The 20,608-nt window shown below is 36.4% G+C and overlaps 1 annotated feature.

Moving 5' to 3' along the window:
* Window positions 18,582–18,876: a silencer, noted in NCBI's record as "tiled region #5305; K562 Repressive DNase matched - State 9:DNaseU". NCBI's record gives its function as "represses a minimal TATA promoter and a strong SV40 promoter by Sharpr-MPRA in K562 cells {active_cell/tissue: K562}" and the evidence as "EXISTENCE:reporter gene assay evidence [ECO:0000049][PMID:27701403]".

The following is a 20,608-nucleotide window of genomic DNA, read 5'->3' on the forward strand; positions in this document are numbered from 1 at the left end:
TGAGCATGGTGGCTTATACCTGTTGTCCCAACTACTCAGGAGGCTGAGGCGGGTGGATCACTTGAGCCTGGGAGGTTAAAGTTACAGTGAACTGTGATTGTACCACTGCACTCCAGCTGGGTTACAGAGTGATACTTGGTCTCAATAATAATAATAATAATAATAATAATAATAATAAAGAAAAAATAAAGAAAAATAGATTCTTCCCTAGAACATCCTGAAAAAAAAAAAGAAGCCCTGCTAAGACTTTGATTACAGCCCAATGAGACATATCTCATACTTTTACCACCAGAACTGTAAGAGAAGAAATTTGTATTACTTTAAGAAACTAAATCTGGCCGGGTGCAGTGGCTCACACCTGTAATCCCAGCACTTTGGGAGACCGAGGTGGGTGGATCACTTGAGGTCAGGAGTTTGAGACTAGCCTGGCCAACATGGTGAAACCCCGTCTCCACTAAAAATACAAAAAATTAGCCAAGCATGGTGGTGCACACCTGTAGTCCCAGCTACACGGGAGGCTGAGCCAGGAGAATTGCTTGAACCTGGGAGGTGGAGGTTGCAGTGAACCAAGATGGCGCACTCCAGTCTGGGTGACAGAGCGTGGCTCTGCCTCAAAAAAAAAAAAAAAAAAAAAAAACTAAATCTATGGTAATTTGTTACAGCATATATCTTAGCACACTATATACTATACCTTGGCCCTCGCTATAATAGGAAACTAATACAGTGGGCTAAGTTATATGCATTTGATAAATGTAAATTTTCATGAACAGGGAATGAATACAAGTGAAATCATAAATTATCTTAGCCCCTCCTCACGTAATTGTTGAACATAATGGCTTTTATTTTGGAACTGACCATCACATACATAATAAGCACAGGTGCCTTGCTTCTCTTCAGGAAAAAAAAAAAAGCCAGTAGAAATGAGACAGAAATGTACAACTGTGCATTAGGTTGTTGTTGAAAAGCAAAAGTACGTTACCAAGTGGGATTAACTGATGGCCATTTTAGGACCACTTGGGCCTTTGACTTGGTCATTATAGTCCTGATTCTGCACAGAGGTGGGCAGAACTAATGAAAGCACATGGCTTATAGGAAAATATGAGTGATCTATGAAGGATTTTGGGACTCTCTGAGGGAGAAGAAATCCTTGGTGGAGGAGTAAAGTTACAAATAAAACTATAAATTATGCTGGGAAAGGCAGTTGAAGCTCTGAGTAACTATAATTTTGTTATTAAAAAGATCCATATATTCAAGTGTAAAAAAAGGCTTAGTCATTTGATTTTCATTTAAATTTGTCTCTCTTAATGGATTAATGATTAATCAAGAGGGGAAAAAATATAAAAGAAACCCTTGTTCTCTAAAAAGAGAGCAGAGAGCAGAAGAGAGCAGCAAAGAGCAATGGTCCCCAACCTTTTTGGCACCAGGGATGTTTCATGGAAAACAATTTTTTCCATGTCAGCAGGGGTGCTGGTTTCTGGATGAAACTGTTCCACCTCATCAGGCATTAGATTCTCATAAGGAGTGCACAGCCTAGATCCCTCGCATGTGCAGTTCACAGTAGGTTTCGCGCTCCTATGAGACTCTAATGTCACAGATGATCTGACAGGACGCCGAGCTCAGGTGATAACACTGATTACCGCTCACCTCCTGCTGTGGCCTGGTTCCTAAGGGGCCACAGTCACAGTAGTGGTGCATGACCCGGGGACTGGGGACCTGGGGACCCCTAGCATAGAGGAAGGTTAGCCAGTAGCTTGTACAGAGCCCCTACAGGGGGCAGGGTAACTTCATTCCTAGGTCTGATATACATTTTGTGAGGAACCAAATTTTGACAGTACCCTCTGAGTTGATTAGGCCCTAGAGGATCGACTTCTACAACCACACTTAAAAGAGATAAACCAGAAATCTAATTTATGTGTTCAAAACAAGATGCCCTTCTTCCCTGAGTCTTCTGCTAAAAGCGTATCCTTTTCAGTATCACAGCAACTGAGACTGTTTGAAAGCGCGTTTGCTCAATGGGCAAAGAAAAAGAACAAAAGAATTAGAAGAGTGTTGCCTTAGTCTATCTGTGTGCTGTAACAAAATACCACAGACTAGGTAATTTATACACAATTTAAATTGATTTCTCACAATTCTGAAGGCTGAGAATTCCAAGATCAAAGCATTGGCAACTTTGGTGTCTGGTGAAAGTCTATTCCTCATAAATAGCCTACCATCTAGGTGTCTTTAAATGTTGGAAAGAATGGAAAGGCTAAAAGCGCCTTAGCTGTTTCCCCCAGCCATTCTATTAGGCATTGAGACATTCATGAGGGCAGAGCTCTTATAACTTAATCACTTCTCAAAGGGACCTACCTCTAATACCACCACCGTGGGGATTAAGTTTCAACACATGGGCCCAGAATGATGGCTCCCACCTGCAATCTCAGCACATTAGGAGAATCTCTTGAGCTCAAGAGTTTGAGAGCAGCCTAGACAACATGGAGAAACCCCATCTCTATGAAAAATACAAAAATATACCACCTCACACCAGTCAGAATGGCTATTACCAAAAAGTCAAAAAATAACATGTTGGCAAGGTTGTGGAGGAAAAGAAACACTTATACACTGTTGGTGGGGATGTAAATTATTTCAACCATTGTGGAAGACAATGTGGCTATTCCTCAAAGGCCTAAAGAAAGAAACACCATTCAATCCAGCAATCCCATTACTGGGGTATATACCCAAAAGAATATAAATCATTCTATTATAAAGACACATGTAAGTGTATGTTCACTGTAGCACTATTCACAATAGCAAAGACATGGAATCAACCTAAATGTCCATCAATGGTAGACTGGAAAAAGAAAATATGATACATATATACCATAGAATACTATGCAGCCATAAAAAGTAACAAGATCATGTCCTTTGCAAGGACATAGATGGAGCTGGAGGCATTATCCTTAGCAAACTAACGCAAGAACAGAAAATTAAATACTTCATGTTCTCACTTATAAGTGGGAGTTATGTGATGTGAACACATGGACGCATAGAGGTAACAACACACACTGAGACCTATCAGAGGGTAGAGGGTGTGAGGAGGGAGTAGGTTAGGAAAAATAACTAATGGGTACTAGGCTTAATACCTGGGTGATATAATAATGACACACAGTTATCTACATAACAAACCTGCACATGTACTCTAGAACTTAAAAGTACAAACAAAAAATTAAAAAATTTGCTGGGTGTGGTAGTTCATGCCTGTAGTCCCAGCTGCCTGAGAGGCTGAGATGTGAGGATCTCTTCAGCTGGAGAGGAGGAGGTTACAGTGAGTGAGATCACACCACTGCATTCCAGCCTGAGTGACAAAGTGAGACCCTATCTCAAAAAAAACAAAACAAAAATTCAACACATGGATTTTGGAAGACATTCAGACCATAGCAGCCTCAAAATTTATTTTATCCAGATTATGAAAATGTGTGATGAACTATGCTTGAACAAAATCTAAATCTAACTTTCCAGTAAGCAGAGCATAATGTCACTTGAAATACAATTTCTCTCCATTGTTTGGACTAAATGAAAAGAAAAATGTCCAATTTTAGTATTTAAATCATTTCTATGAACTTCATATGAAACATTTTAATACAAAATTATGAAACAGGTTTAAAATACAGAAAAACCGCAATGTATTTGATATATATATATATATATATCAAATACATATATATGTGTATATATGTATTTGTGTATATATGTGTATATATATAAAACTATATATATATAACTATATATATATATATAAATTTTAGTGTTATTATGTCCAAGGATAAAACTCAGTCATGTGGAATTTGAGGATCTCCTGTGTTCATTAATAATCCACTTATAAGCAATATTTTAAACAAAAGCATTTCTGAAGAAAATCTCTCTCTCTCTGGTTCTCTGTCACACACACACACACATACACATATTTTGATTATTGATAGTTACCTTCCTTAATTTTGGCATCAGCACTGTAACTTAAATATACCTCCTTTTAGCTGTGTATATTCTAGTATTTTTTAAAGCAAATAAACAAAACCTTTTTGACAATCATTTAAGGAAAATAGGCATGAAAGTTGCCAGGTTCCAAGAACAGAATAAAAGCTATGACCAAAGAAGGTTTTCACTAAAACTTTTTTCAAAAGTCATTCCTTTCAGACACTTCCTAAGAATAATCAGTAACTCATCACTGAAGGAAACTTCGAGTCATAGGTAATTACTGATAAATGTCAGCAAGTTCAATCAAGAACAGAAGGGAAATGTACAAACCTCACCAAAACAGCAACCATCTTTATCTTTAAAAAAGAGTGGTGTGAATGAACATGCGCCTGTGGAGATGGGAGGGAATTTCATTATCAAACACTCCAGGGCTCTGTGTGAAATGTTTGTAAAATTAAAAATAATGAAATTATGAAAAACTTTCCAACAGAGATGCCAGCTACAGTACACACTTAGTCATTACTGGCCTCCTCTGATTTACCCACTCATCTATAGTAAATGTGAACAATGTGCACAGGAAGAAATATCAACATTTACAAATGGATATTTTGGATGCAATAATAAACACGCTAGAATCAGGATTTTAAGTCTCTGGGTTTTCTATCATTCATGTATAAATTCTCAAAATATGAAATCATGAGTGTTTTATTTACCCATATTCTCACTTTTAAAAGCTATGCTGACAGCCTATTCTTTTGTAGAACAGAAGATGCCAAGATGATACAATATGGTATCTGCCCATGAAGAGATTTTATTCTATAGAAGAGAAAGTCATATCCGGCATCTCACATGATGAGACAACATGAGAGAGTTTTAAAATCAAGTTATTCTACTGTCCTTGTTTTTGTCTCCTCACTTGACTTTGGGCTTCCCTAAGTACTCTTGTTCAAAAGTCTGGATCCTGCAGCTCTTTCAGGAATAATTCATTTTTATGATTATTTTATACCCTGATGATGAGGTAGTTAGGTGATCTTGGAGCTGTGACCTTCACAAATGTTACATGTGTTTCTCAGACTGGGAACTGTGGCTCATGCCCATAATCCCAACACTTTGGGAGGCTGAGGCAGGAGGATTGCTGGAGCCCAGGAGTTTGAGATGAGATGGGGCAACATGGTGAGACCTTCCCTTTCTAAAAAAAAATAAAAAATAAATAAAAAAAATCAAACAATTATCCAGGAGTGGTAGTGTGCATCCATGGTCCCAGCTACATGGGAGAATGAAGAGGGTGGATAGCTTGAGCCCAAGAGATCTAGGCTGCAGTGAGCCATGATCGTGCCACTGCACTCCAGCCTGGGTGACAGAGTGAGACCTTATCTCAAAAAATAAAATAAAATAAAAACAAGTGTTTCTTCAGTGGTAGAGGTTTTGTTTGCTCATTTGTTTTTGTTTTGTTTTGTTTTTATCTTCAGCCCCCTACTCCTTTCTCTGGCTGCACCATTCTCAATCTATTTCTGTGAAGCTTTGATTCCTGATGTTTATGTTTTTCCACCACTTAAGACAGGAAGGCAGAAGGAAGTTATCTTCCTTCAGCTGAGATAGTTTCAGAATTTTGAGCACTGGCAAAATCCTTTTCTTTGGAAAATAAGCATTCGTTGCAGAGAAGGCTATGATCATGTTCATAGTGGTTAGTCTTCTCCTTCCCTAGCCAGAGCCAAGAAGGGATATTTCTTGGACCTTCGTCATAAAAATCTGGTGGCATTCCTGGAATGAAAGCCCACAGAAATATGGGGGCTCCCTAAGACTGTAGCCCCAAGGAGGTTCTCATCCTCACACTAGTCTTCACTTGACCTCCAGCAGTTCATTAAAATTACCACTTAAGTATCCCTATCAGTTCATAGTTCCAGCAGCTTTTGTTCCAGGTAAGAAGATTTCAGTTTCTGTCTCTCTCTAGATGCACTTGTCTCTCCAGACTTTCAAGTGGTGGTTTGCCCTGTGACCTCATTTCTCTGATGAGTCCAAGACATCATGGTTCAGTTATTTTACTGTCGCTGTAAAAATGGAAATGATGACTTCTAGGCATTTTATTTATTGGGGCTGAAACTGGAAGTCACAAGTCATTTTTTATGTACCATATTTATACAGGCATTACTACAGTAATACAATTTCCAACATTCCCATTTAGAGATGATTTCCCCTCTTTGAAAGGGTAACAAAATAACAAAAATATGTAAAATTCATCTGAGTCAAAACTTTAAAACACACCTGAAATACACACAGGACAATTTTAAATATGATAATATTAAATAAAATAAGACACAACATAAATAAAATCTAAGTAAAGATACAATGTCTTTGCCACACTCCTACCACAGAGTCCAGTACCAGACAATGACTTAAACAATAACAAAAAAAAACAAGTATAGCCATGAAAATCGTGACACAAAAGGAAGAAGACTGAGTTTTTTAAGTATGTAACATATTATAGTCTCCACAACTTAAAACGTACCATTCCTGCATTTTTATAGACCAATAAGATAAATACAAAGTTTAGAAATAGATTTAAATATGTAGAGAAATTTGATATCTAAGAAAAGAAAGTTGAATTCAAATCAGTGGGGAAAGATGGAATTTTGAAATTAATTATGGTGTGACACATGAATAACCACTAAAAAAAAGATTAATCTAGATTCTTACCTTGTATTTAGAAGAAAATAAATTCCAAATGCTCCAAAGATTTAAATATTAAAAATGAAACTATACAAGAGCTAACAGGACCCTTGGGCATATTTCATTCAGACCTCATAGAAGATAGAAATCTCCCTAAATATAACTCAAAATCCAAAAGTAATAAACTCAAACACTTGATAAATCTGACTATATTAAAAAGAGAATTTTATTAAAACATACACCAGAAAACCATAAGCAAAAGCCAAAAGACAAACTGTGAGACAAATAGAACACAGAACATATAAAAAGTGCTAATATCTCCCGCATTTAAAGAGTTTTTACAAGTCAAAGGAGAAAGATCAAAACCTGAGGGACAAATGGGCAAAAGCTATACAACAGAGTTCACAGAAAAAAAATAAAATGGACTTTAAATATGTGAAACTATAGTCACCCTCGGTTATAAGAGATGGTGAAATTAAATACGCATTTAGAGACATTATAGGACATGAGTTCTTGGAAATACTGGTGAAATCTGAATAGAGCCTATAATTTAGTGAATAGTATTCTACCAGTGTTAATTTCCTTGTATTGATAATTGTGCCATGATTATTTGACCTATAAACTTTACAGCTAGCTAGGTGAAAGGTATATATAAATTCACATTATTATGCTTTCAATCTTTCTCTATATATGTAATCATTTCCAAATAAAAGGTTACCTTTTAAACAAAAATCAAGTGTAAAACACTAAAACAAAACAAAACAAAGTGATGAAGAACCACTTCATATTTATTACATGGTAAAAATCTTGATAACGCAATTTGTTATCAAAAGCTTGATAATGCAATTTTTGGTGAAGGCCTGGGGTAACAAACACTCTCCTTCATTATTGGTGAGAACATAAAATAGAATACCTTTAGAGAGGGAGATTTTCAGCACAGCATTTATTATTTAGCATTAAATTCATCAAACTCGTATCTGTCCCCAAAATACACAGGCACAAAAATTAAATGACATAGCACAGGGCTATTGACTACAGCCTATTTATATCGGCAAGTGATTCAAAGCAACCCACATAACCTTAGACTACAAAATGCTCATATAAGTTAGTAGAAAAAGAAATAATGGAGATTCCTATTTTCTGATACGCAATAATCTCCTGCATATATTTGTTAAGTAAAAGCAGCAAGGTAAATAAAAATGTTTACAGAACAGTTTGTGTACGGAAACTTTTGAAAGGTAAGATGAGAAATACAGATAGAATGTTGCATTTGTATTGTAAGGTAGGAAACTTTAAATATGTGTGGGCATGTTTATATTTATAAAAAGAAACACTAAAAAAATACACATACTTATTATTCTTTGGTTTATTTTTATAAACCAAAGAGTTACATATATGTATATTTATTTATAGATATAGAAGAACATATATCTATATCTGTATGAAGTGATACATATATATCTGTATAAAGAAGATATATATATACACATATATATGCATAGTATGTATGTATGAAAAGAATGAAAAGAGAAGGATGACATGGATAGAAGTAATATTTCCCTGATATTGTTATATATTTTGAGTAATACCAAGTCACATAATAATATCGGGAAAAAATCAGAACCACATATTTTGAATACATATCCTTGGTGGAATATATTGTAAGAACAAAAGGAAAAACAAAGAAAATTTAAATGTTATTCAGTAGCCTTATTTTGGTGGTAACATTGTTACTGATAATGCTAAACCATTTTATGTGCATTGTAGGATATATGAAATAATAAGGGTTTTAGGAAATAATTTCCCATGTAAAGTCATAAAATCAAAGCATGATCTTTTTACTTTTCAAAATACATATTTTATTCTAGAAGCAATGACAACTCTACAGCAAAGAACGCCCATCGTGCCCTCATTTTGGATTGTGAATATTATTTCCAAGTTAAATGAATTAGAGCTCCTTGGAAATGTGACTGATTTTAGGACTGGGACAAGAAATGTACAGATGAGCTTGAACATCTGGGTGTGCCAGAAATAAATGAAACTAATGGGTTCATTTATAAAAAAATGAAAAAAAGCTAATGGGTTAATTCCTTAATGACCCAGGAGCCACCTTGAAGTTGCTCGCCTGGGCCAGGATAAGGCGATTTGAGTATTAAGAGGAGAAATAACTGAAATTGATACCTAACACATTGACTATATAAAAACCCAGGAAGTCATAATGATAGTAAAAAAGCAAGAGAGAAAATAAAAACAAACAGAGACAAAATACCATGAGTATTAGAGAAACAACTCAATACCATGAAAATTAATAATTATAGGAGACAAATTATTTGTCTGGTCCTTCGTACGAACTGTATGTCAGAATAAACAAAAAGTCCTGGTTAATGAGGAAGTTATTCTTTTTATTTTATTTTATTCTTTTGAGACGGGGTCTTACTATTTCCCAGACTGACTTAGAACTCCTAATGTCAAGGAATCCTCCCACCTCAGCCTCCTGAGTAGCTGAGACTATAGGTATAAGCCACCACTCCCAGCTTGGAAAAGTTATTAAAAAAAATCCATGTAGGCCAGGCGCAGTGGCTCATGCCTGTAATCCCAGCACTTTGGGAGGCTGAGGCAGGTGGATCACGAGGTCAGGAGATCGAGACCATCCTGGCTAACATGGTGAAACGCCGTCTCTACTAAAAAAATACAAAAAATTAGCCAGACGTGGTGGCACGCGCCTGTAGTCCCAGCTACTCGGGAGGCTGAGGCAGGAGAATGGCGTGAACCTGGGAGGTGGAGCTTGCAGTGAGCCTAGATCACGCCACTGCACTCCAGCCTGGGTGACAGAGTGAGACTCTGTCTCAAAAAAAGAAGAAAAAAAAATCCATGTAAATCAAATAGAAGATACAGAATTAGAAAAGATGATTTTGTGATTGCTATCTAAATAATAGATTTGGGCAATGATCATCAATATATTTGGTAAATGATAATAATATTCATATACTACCAAAGTATTAACATGCTGACCAGTGGGGAAACAAGCACTATGTTACAATGAAGGAGCCGTGCTATTGCCTCCTGAAATCAATTAACTATCTTACGATCTCCAGTCATTATGTTCTTCTTGATGTGATACATTATTAGGTGAACATCACCATCTGTGAAACATTCTTATCTAAAAAGGGATAAACAATGCAATTAAGCCTTTAGTTGTAACTTTCATTTACATGAACACAGGCGATGGATACAAATCTGTATGTCGCCCAGTTATTTTAACTGATAAATGCCATGAAAAAAAGGGGGAGTGAGGGGACAAAGTATATTCTATTACATGGTTTAAGAAGCATAACAATGGCAATGTTTGGACATATTTTAAGATTCTGTGTCAAACTATATGAAGACATTTTTGAGTAATCAAAGAAATTTGAATATGTACTGAGTATCAGAATATTAAAGTTTTGGTATAATAATGGCATTGTAGAAAATAACCTTCACAAATACATACTAAAGTTGTTTTTTGTGTTATTTTTTTCTTGCAACTTTTCCTTTCTTTTTTTTCTTTTTTTTTTCACTGCAACCTCCGCCTCCTGGGGTCAAGCAATTCCCCTGCCTCAGCCTCCTGAGTAGCTGAGACTACAGGCGTGCATCACCACACCTGGCTAATTTTTTGTAGTTTAGTGGAGATGGGGTTTCACCGTGTTGGCCAGAATGGTTTCGATTTCCTGACCTCGTGATCCACCCGCCTCGGCCTTCCAAACTGCTGGGATTACAGATATGAGCCACTGTGCTCTGCCTAAAGTTTTAAAAGATACATATTAATGTCTGGATTTTTATTTGAAATATTTCATCAAAAAAAGTATAAAATGTATAATAAAACATTGCTAATTTTAAAACCAGGAGTTAATTGTATGGAGACTCAATATACTATTCTATCTACTTTCAAAATGCAGTGAAAATTAGTGAAAATTGTATCATAGACAGGGCATGGTGGCTTACGCCTGTGAGTCCAGCACATTGGGAGGCCAACGCAGGCTGATTACTTGAGCCCAGGAGTTTGAGACCAGCCTAGGCAATACAACAAAATCCCCTCTCTAAAAAAAGTAAAAATAAAAAAAATAAAACTACCAAAATTATCTGGGTGTGTTGGGATGCGCCTAAGGTCCTGGCTACTTGGGAGGCTGAGGTGTGAGGATCTTTTGAACCTGGGAGGGGGAGGTTGCAATGAACACAGATGGTACCACTGAACTCCAGCCTGGGCAACAGAGTGAAACGCTACCTCAAAAGAAAAAAAAATGTATTACTTTTTTCTCAAGTTATTTTTTAAAAATAAGCAAAATACATCACAGTAAGTTAAAATTTTCTTTGTAGAACCTGTTGCTATCTAATAATTTTTTACTTTCCATACTTTAATAGTTGCTGCAACAAAGAGCCAATCTGAATGAATTACCAATGTCCAAAGCTGGAACACCAAAATAAATAATGTGGTACTGGATTATAACTCAAAATATAAGTATACATGAGTCTCTACTGATAAAGTATTGAATAAATAAATAGAGGAAAAAAGATAACTCTACCTTATAAAAATTAGAAATAACATGTGTAGATACTCTCCCCTTTAAAGGTGAACCTTAATTCTGCCCTCTTCCCCTTTGAGGGTGGGCTGAACTTGGTGACTTGCTTCCCATGAATATAGTATGTAAGGGTAATAAAAGTAACTTCTCAGGGGAAAAACCCATCAAACACAACTGCAGCCAGGTGATCCAGGCCAACTTCACCAATGATAAGTCAGGCTGATGGTATATATGCATTTATATGGTTCAATGGGTACTTCACTTCTGTAGTATTCTTCCCCAGAACCCATAACATCCATCTAGTCATGTTAAAGACATCAGACAAATCCAAACTGAGAGATATTCTAGAAAGCACCCAACCCAATTCCTCAAAATTGCCAAGGTTATGAAAAATGAAAAAATACTAAGACACTATTACAGATAGAGGAAACTAATGGGACACGACTACTAAATGCATGTGGAATTCTGGATTGGATCCTGGAACAGAAAGATGACATTAACAAATGAAATCTGAATAGCATATAGTTTAATTAATAGCCAGACACCGATATTGGTTTCTTAGTTTTGACAAATGTACCGTGATTATTTAAGAAGATAATAATGGTGGAAACTGGCTAGAGCATATGGGAACTCCATACTCCCTTTATAACATTTCAGTAAATGCATAGTTTTTACAAAATAAAAAAAGCTACTGTAGACTGAATGTTTATTCTCCCCCAAATTCATATACTGAAACCTGATCCTCAATGTGATGGTGCTTGAAAGTAGGTCCTTTGATAAGTGATTAGGTTATGAGGGTGGAACCCTCACGAATGGGATTAGTGCCCTTATAAGAGGAAATCCCGGGAGTCCCTCATCCCTTCTGCCATGTGAAAACACATGAAAAGACGGCTGTCTAGGAAGTGGGCCTTCACCAGACACTGAATCTGCTGCCACCTTGATCCTGAACTTCAAAGTCTCCAGAACTGTGAGATACAAATGTTTGTGGTTTATAAATTACCCAGTTTTGGTATCTTGTTATACAAGCCCAAGCAGACTAAGAAGAAAACTTATTAAAAATAAAATAAACTTCTGATTGGCTTTAAAAATACATGGGTTTAAAAATATAGATATATTACTTGTGTTCTAACAAAATTAACAGTTGCGTATCAGAAAAGAAATCCTTCACAGGACTGCACGTAAGCAGGGACACCATGAAACTGTGTGATAGTAGGGCATAGAGAGTGGGAGATTTGTCAGAAACCAAGAGAAAGGTTGGCCATTCATATCTTTTATCCAGGTGCAGATTAAAACTTCAATGGCAGAGGAAAAGGAACCTCACAGAGGTCTAGTAAAGTCACAAGGAAAGAGAGAGATGCTGAACATGGGAAACCACTAAAACATTTTCTCAGCCAAAAGTTGTTTTAAGCCACTTGCAGATAAGCTTAGGAAAGGATTGGAGTTATGAAAATATTCCAGTTTCAACCATGCTAATAATATGCTGACAGTGAGCAAGTCATTTAATTTTTCTCATTCTTAACTCTCTCAATTGTGGGATGACGTTCATCCACAGCTGTGATTAAAACTGCCTTTCCGAAAATTATGAATGTGAAAGAAATCTGACATAACTCCATCTTGCTTCTGACGTCCAAGCTGCCCTTGTTTATTCCTGGGCATAGGCCAAGCTTACTTTGGGAGGAATTTAGTTTATAGTTTAAAACCAAGATGATAACAGCCCCTTTCCAAAACTAACCCACTCCTTACTCAGGAACTGAAACCACCTTTGTAAAATTAACCCAATTTGCCACAAGGTTAAAATTATGGTTCTGGAATCATGAAGCCAGAGGTCACAAGATTGGTAATCTCCCCTATCGCTCCTATAGATAACATCACTATTGTAAAACTTAAGATTTGTGTTTTAGGTATTTTTCAGAGCCTGTATTCTGTTGGACCAGGTGGCACCACCTGGAGTAGTAATTCATACTAAGAAACTTCCTTCGCTGGTCTTGTGACCCCACCCAGGAACTGACTCAGTGAAAAAAAAGACAGCTTTGACTCCCTAGGATTTCATCCCTGGTGCAATAAATGAGCATTCTCCATTACCTAGGCTCCTGCCTGCCAAACTATCCTTGAAAAACCCTAGCCTCTGAATTTTCCAGGAGGCTGAGTTGAATAATAAACTCCCATTCTTCTTCTTGGCTAGCCCTGCAGTTGTTAAACTTTATTTCTACTGGAATACCACTGTTCCATTGAATCAGCATTATCTGTGCAGTGGGCAAGAAGAACCCATCAGGTGATTACATAATTCTATGAATTTACAAAGGTAAGTTTTTCAATCTTTTTGGATATATTCAATGAAGTATCAAATTTGACAACTACATAAATAATTAAAATATGTTGTAAAAAGGAAGTAAGAATAGTTTTGGGTATTACATATGCTTTAAAGTCTCATTTTGGCAAGTCATTGCATGTGGTAGGAAATAAATTATCAGACAACTACAATGTATGTACATATAGTCAATTGCAATGACCACAAACAGTTAGTCCTTTAATTCCTGAAATATTCACCATACCGATAGGCTATTACTTACAAGTATCATTCAAACGAGTCACTCAGAGAAATATGTTGAACTGTACCATTAATGTGCAATCACCAAGATCCAGACTGTACAGGAAACCACAGCCTTGTTCATCACCAGTTAATTTGTAAGAAAAAGAAAGAAATTGGGCCAGACGCAGTGGCTCACGCCTGTAATCCCAGCACTTTGGGAGGCTGAGGTGGGTGGATCACCTGAGGTCAGGAGTTCGAGACCAGCCTGATCAACGTGGTGAAACCCCATCTCCACTAAAAATACAAAAGTTAGCTGGGCGTGGTGGCATGCACCTATAATCCCAGATATTCAGGAGGCTGAGACAAGAGAATCCCTTCAACCCAGGAGGTGGAAGTTGCATTGAGCCAAGACCCCGTACCATTGCACTCTAGCCTGGGCAACAAGAGTGAGACTGTCACAAAAAAAAAAAAGAAAAAAGAAAAAAGAAAAAACAAATTGATAGGGCGCTATTAAAAGAGACTTAAGGCCGGGTGCGGTGGCTCACGCCTGTAATCCCAGCACTTTGGGAGGCCGAGGCGGGTGGATCACGAGGTCAGGAGATTGAGAGCATCTTGCTAACATGGTGAAACCCCGTCTCTACTAAAAATACAAAACAATAGTCTGGCGTGGTGGCGGGCGCCTGTAGTCCCAGCTACTCAGCTACTCGGGAGGCTGAGGCAGGAGAATGGCCTGAACCCAGGAGGCAGAGCTGGCAGTGAGCCAAGATCACGCCACTGCACTCCAGCCTGGGCAACAGAGCGAGACTCCATCTCAAAAAACAAAACAAAACAAAAAGACTTAAAAGTCACATCAAGTTAAAAAAATGGAAAGGAGAAATATATCAAAGGACATATATCTGGGTTACAATCTATAATAATGAAGTGATCATTATAAAATTCAGGATAATAGTTACCCATGGAGAGATGGAGGATTTGTCATTGTAGTGGGACACATGTCTTCTGGGTGTCTGGCAAAGTACTTTTTTTTTTTTTTAACCTGGGTAATAGTTACAAGGGTGCTAGTCTTTTATAATAATTTTTATAGCAAACATTTGTGTGGTTTTCAACATTTTTTGTATTACAATGTGTACTAAAATCTTCCTGTGTTGCAGAATGCTATGTACTCCATTTACAAAAACAAATATGAAGAAATTTCCTATACCCAGAGGTTAGAATCAAGTAGGAAAGAATATAAGTGATAAAATGATTGCAACAGAATCCGGCAATTGTTATGATAAAATTACATTGGATAAAATGAGGCCCAGTGGATGGGGTGGTCAGTTTTGCCTAGCTAAGTCATAAATAGTTTTGAAAAGAAATAATGCAGCATCGTATTCTGTGGTGTATATGTGCCACATTTTCTTAATCCAGTCTATCATTGATGGACATTTGGGTTGGTTCCACGTCTTTGCTATTGTGAATAGTGCCCCAATAATGCATGTGTCTTTATAGCAGCATGATTTATAATCCTTCAGGTACATACCCAGTAACGGGATGGCTGGGTCAAATAGTATTTCTGGTTCTAGATCCTTGAGAAAAAAAGGATGAGTTCATGTCCTTTGTAGGCACATGGATGAAGCTGGAAACCATCATTCTGAGCAAACTATCGCAAGGACAGAAAACCAAACACCACATGTTCTCACTCATAGGTGGGAATTGAACAATGAGAACACTTGGACACAGGAAGGGGAACATCACACACCGGAGCCTGTCGTGGGGTGGGGGGAGGGGGGAGGGATAGCATTAGGAGATATACCTAATGTAAATGATAAGTTAATGGGTGCAGCACACCAGCATGGCACATGTATACATATGTAACAAACCTGCATGTTGTGCACATGTACTCTAGAACTTAAAGTATAATAAAAAATAAATAATAAATAAAAATAAAAAAAGAAATAATGCAATGCCTAAGCTTAATATTTAAAGAGTAATCACTGTATCCAATAGACAAGAAGGTAGAGCAATGTAGAAGGAATGGGTTATTTTGTCAAAGTATATCTTTACAGGCAAAATCATGACTCTCTTGCAGATATTAAATATTTAAAATTTTATTTGGGCTGGGCGCGGTGGTTCATGCCTGTAATCCCAGCAATTTGGGAGGCCAAGGCGGGTGGATCACCTGAGGTCAGGATTTCGAGACGAGCCTGGCCAACATGGTGAAACCCCACCTCTACTAAAAATACAAAAATTAGCCAGGTGTGGTGTCAGGCGCCTGTAATCCCAGCTACTCGGGAGGCTGAGGCTGGAGAATCTCTTGAACCCAGGAGGCAGAGGTTTCAGTGAGCCAAGATCACACCATTGCACTCCAGCCTGGGCAACAAGAATGAAACTCCGTCTCAAAAAATAAAATGAAATAACATAAAATAAAATTTTATTTAACTCACTAATTAATGAGAGAATCACTAAGATGTTATAGCTAATTCGCCAGGCACGGTGGCTCACGACTATAATCCCAGCACTTTGGGAGGCCAAGGTGGGAAGATCACCTGAGGTCAGGAGTTCAATACCAGTCTGGCCAACATGGGGAAACCCTGTCTCTACTAAAAAATACAAAAATTAGCTGAGCGTGGTGGTGGGTGCCTTTAGTCCTAGCTACTCGGGAGGCTGAGGCAGGAGAATCACTTGAACCTGGGAGGCGTCTCAGAAAAAAAAAAAAAAAAAGATGTTATAGCTAATTCAAAAGAGAATCTGTAAACAGACACATATTGGTCATCAAAAATGTTGAAATAAGTTTACAAACAAATAAAAAGTTAATCAGTATCCATACGAAAATAACCAAATATTTCCCTGCTGAACAAATCTGCATTTATGTGAAGAAGCATGCTCATTATTATCAGTGTTCAATGATTTATAGAACTATAAAATACCTAAACGACAATGAAAAGAGAAAATAACTTCAAAGGGCATACTGGATAGGACACTCAGTAATCTTTTTCCCTTTCAAAGTATTTGAGTAATTTTTTCCGTCAGCATGAAGACCAGGTGTTGCAAAACAGCAGGACCCATCCTAAGAAGGGCAAGAATGCAGAACAGCTGGAGTTAAAATGATAGAAGGGATGAGGTGAGAAAAGAGGTTGAAAAGATGGTTAGGGGCTACATCAGGAAGCTGAGTGAAGCTTTTTATTTTGTTTGTCATTAGGGAATGAGCAGAGGCAAATCTGGATAACCCTGATGATCATTTCCTCTTCTTTATCTGTAGTTTAGGAAGAAATTTGCCTAACATTTTGTGACATAGCTCAGTAGAAGAATGTATTAGGTTGGTGAGAAAGTAATGGCAAAAACCACAATTTCTTTCGCACCAACTTAATAGTAAACTCTGGAGTTCTCCCTTTCTTAATCCAGGACACTCCCGTTGTTACACAGATGCTATCTATCCGTCTTTACTTATAAATATTTTGAATGGATGAGGTGAGGTCTCTCACCTGGAGCCCTTTCACGATATGTCATGCACACCTGAGCCCATGACAAGCCTTTTATGTGGAATGATGCAAGTGTGAAAGAAAGGATGTGCTTTGCTGCTTCTCTGCCTGTGAGCTACCTTAAAAAATCATATTTAACATTTTCATTGTGTGATGTTAGGAATGTGTGTGTCCTTTTCACTTTTGCTTTACAGAAAGAATGAATTTGGTTTTTGTTATATTTTGTTCATTACTATTACTCTTAGTAGTAGTAGTATTTTTATTGTAACATGATCGGATTTGTATTTTAAAAAGATATAGCCAGGCGCAGTGGCTCATGGCTGTAATCCCAGCACTTTGGGAGGCCAAGGTGGGCTGATCATTTGAGGTCAGGAGTTCAAGACCAGCCTGACCAACATGGTGAAACCCCATTGGAGTATTATAAATGTAGGAAGACAAGTGTGATCCAGGATTTGCAGTGTCGCTGTGTTAAAAAGAAAAAAGAAAATTAAATTACTATGATTGAGAGTAGTTTGGGGATAACTGTGAAAAGGGAGACTTGGTTGGTTTCTGGTATATAAATTCTTTTCATATTCCCTTACCTCGTGCTGTTTATGAAATTTATTCTCAAAATAGCTAGTAAAATATTATGTTGATTTTGACTGCTTGATAGGTATTGGAACATGGGTGTTTCCTACCTAAAAACAAACATTCACACTTTCAGGCAGAACTCATTAGGCAATTAGTCCTTTATTTGTAAAGCCATATTTATTTGGTTCATAATTTTACATTTTTCCCTTGATCCACAGAGACAATTCTATTTCCCTCTTATTTTAATCTGCTTCTCTTTCTTACAATTTATCTGTTGAACTTTGCTGTAGTTGCCCCCAGGGTCTGGATTCTGGTGATTGCATATTTATGGTGCAGTTCAACATGTTCTTCCATCTTCTGTCCTCTGTCATTTCTACTCATTGGCAGCTGGGTCCAGAGAATGAATCAGACTTAAGTTTGGTCTTTTTAAAAACCTATAAGTAGGGTATAGCAAGGCTATAAAAAGCACATAATTTTGCCATGTCTTTATATGATCTTAACAACCACTGAATCACAATACCTAAGTTTAATCATTTGTTAGGGGTTAAAATGGTGAGATTCTAATGCAATTATTTTATTTTTATGTGTTTGTTAGAGTATTTTTATTAAAAAATTTATCTCATGCAGTATTTTGTTATCCATGATAGAGTTAATAAAAAATGCAGGCTACCTGCTTAATTTTTTCCCTTTCTTAAACAATTTTAATAACAATGGATTAGTTTCTATTGATAATCTGAAAGTAGGCAATTCTTTTTTAATAGCATTATGCACTCATAGATATAAGTACGTTTGATCTGTTCAATCCATTGCACTTATTAAAATTATTGAAGTTCAAATGGTGTCATCTTGGTTAGTAGAAAACCCACCAAATTCTTGAAGAATTTTAAATTGATCAGTCTTTGCCAGCTTATTTGCTAACTGATATGACAATATTTGCTAGGCTTAGCTTTGCTATGTCCTGTCTGAGACCTGGAATCAGTGATATCTTTAGCAAACCTAGTTTTCTTGGAGTGAGAAGTGACATTTCAAGACCACAATCTAGGTCTCATTGCTACTGCATTAGTCATTGTTTCTAAGTATTTATAGTGGAAAAGACTAGAAAACATTTACAGGCAGGAATTATATATATCCCAGATCTGTCCACTATAAAAGACTAGAAACAATGACCAACACAGTAGCAATTTTCTGTTTACATTGATGCTTGCTATCAAATTTCCAAGACTAAAGTGCTTTTAACTAAACTATTCTCTATTGCATTTGCATGTCCCTTTTTCTATATTAAGAATTCTTTTTTCTCAAGGACACAGAATATGATAAATTAGAACTGCCACTAATTATTCATTTTTAAATTATTTTTAGATTACTAGTACTATTACCATTGTGATTACTAATATTAAATAAATTAAACCAAAGAAACTTTCTTGAAATCCACCTCATTCAAAAAAGCACAGGAAAATTAATTTCACATGAAAAATAATAGAAATGTACAAAGGTCAAATTCTATGCAATGTTATAATAAGAGAATAAGGAACATAACTATATGAATGCACACATACACAAAATATAAATCTGAAACCTAGCCTCATTTTAGTTGGCCTTACTTTCTCCTAATGCTAAGGAAAAGAAGACAAGGATTCCAATTATTAATTTACTGTACTCAAGTTGTAAACCAATGATATTAGGCTAGAAAATAAAGATATGATAACTGAAAAAGAGTTGTTAAAATTAATAATATTTATATGAATCTATCTTTTGAGAAATATAGGAAAATTAATTTTAAAACTATGATAAATTTGTTGAACAATAACAGTATTAATGGAATTCAGGTAACAGGGTATAATATTCATTTACAAAAATTGTATATGCATATTATATATATATGTTTAAAGATGACCATGATTATTATGATCAACTGATACATCACTTCCTGCCATAAACAGCTTGAAAACTGTAAAAATACAAAATACACTGGTTTTTACCACTGAAAATAAGCATAGAGAGGCATAGAGAACTGTGATCCATAACAGAAGAGAGACAGAGAAAGTAAGCCCTGCCTTCCTTTAAAAAGACTGCAGTGCAGAGAAGGAACATAAATCTCAAATTTAGAATTTAGAAATTGAGAAGTTTATAGGGGTACTCCTTAAATAGAGCGAAAACACTAATTTGAGTTGAGGAAATAGTGATCTAAATTCAAGGAGATTGAGAAGACTGAAATTTACAAGACAAAGTACTAGAAAAAGTCTAAAAATACTATATAAGAGTACTTTTGAGTCTAGCTGAATACCAAGCAGCTCAGATGAAAAACAAAACTGCATGAGTACTGACAAAGGATTCCCACCAGGGATGTGGGTTAATTTACAGAGATTATACCGGGTTCAGGTACTTTTAAGCTCTTATCATCTAAAGCAGAAAAGCCTTATCGAACACCCTGGGAATGCATTAGAGATTTAAGAATCATTATACCTTAGTAATTAAAACTACCCTAGATCCAGTATAACAAATTTAAACACAGGTCTTTAAGACGGAGGTGATACACAATTGATTGTTGGCTAAGACCAACTTCATCATCATTAAATGGAGAATGAAAGAATCCTGAATATTTACATCATAAAATTCAAAATGCCCAACATCCAATAAAAAGTTACTAGAGATCTGAAGAAGCAGGAAAATACGCCATCATTAGCAGAAAAATCAGTCAATAATAGCAGACCCAGAATTACAGAGATGCATTTTCAGAACAGGCTTCAAAACAGCTATTATAAATATTTTTAAGTATTTGAATATAAAACCAACAAGAATATAATAAGGAAGGAAATGCAAACTATAAAAATGGAACTTATGTAGCTGAAATGAATATTTTACTATACAAG

This window comes from Homo sapiens, chromosome 1 (genome assembly GCF_000001405.40).
Source record: "Homo sapiens chromosome 1, GRCh38.p14 Primary Assembly".
Lineage (NCBI taxonomy): Eukaryota > Metazoa > Chordata > Mammalia > Primates > Hominidae > Homo > Homo sapiens.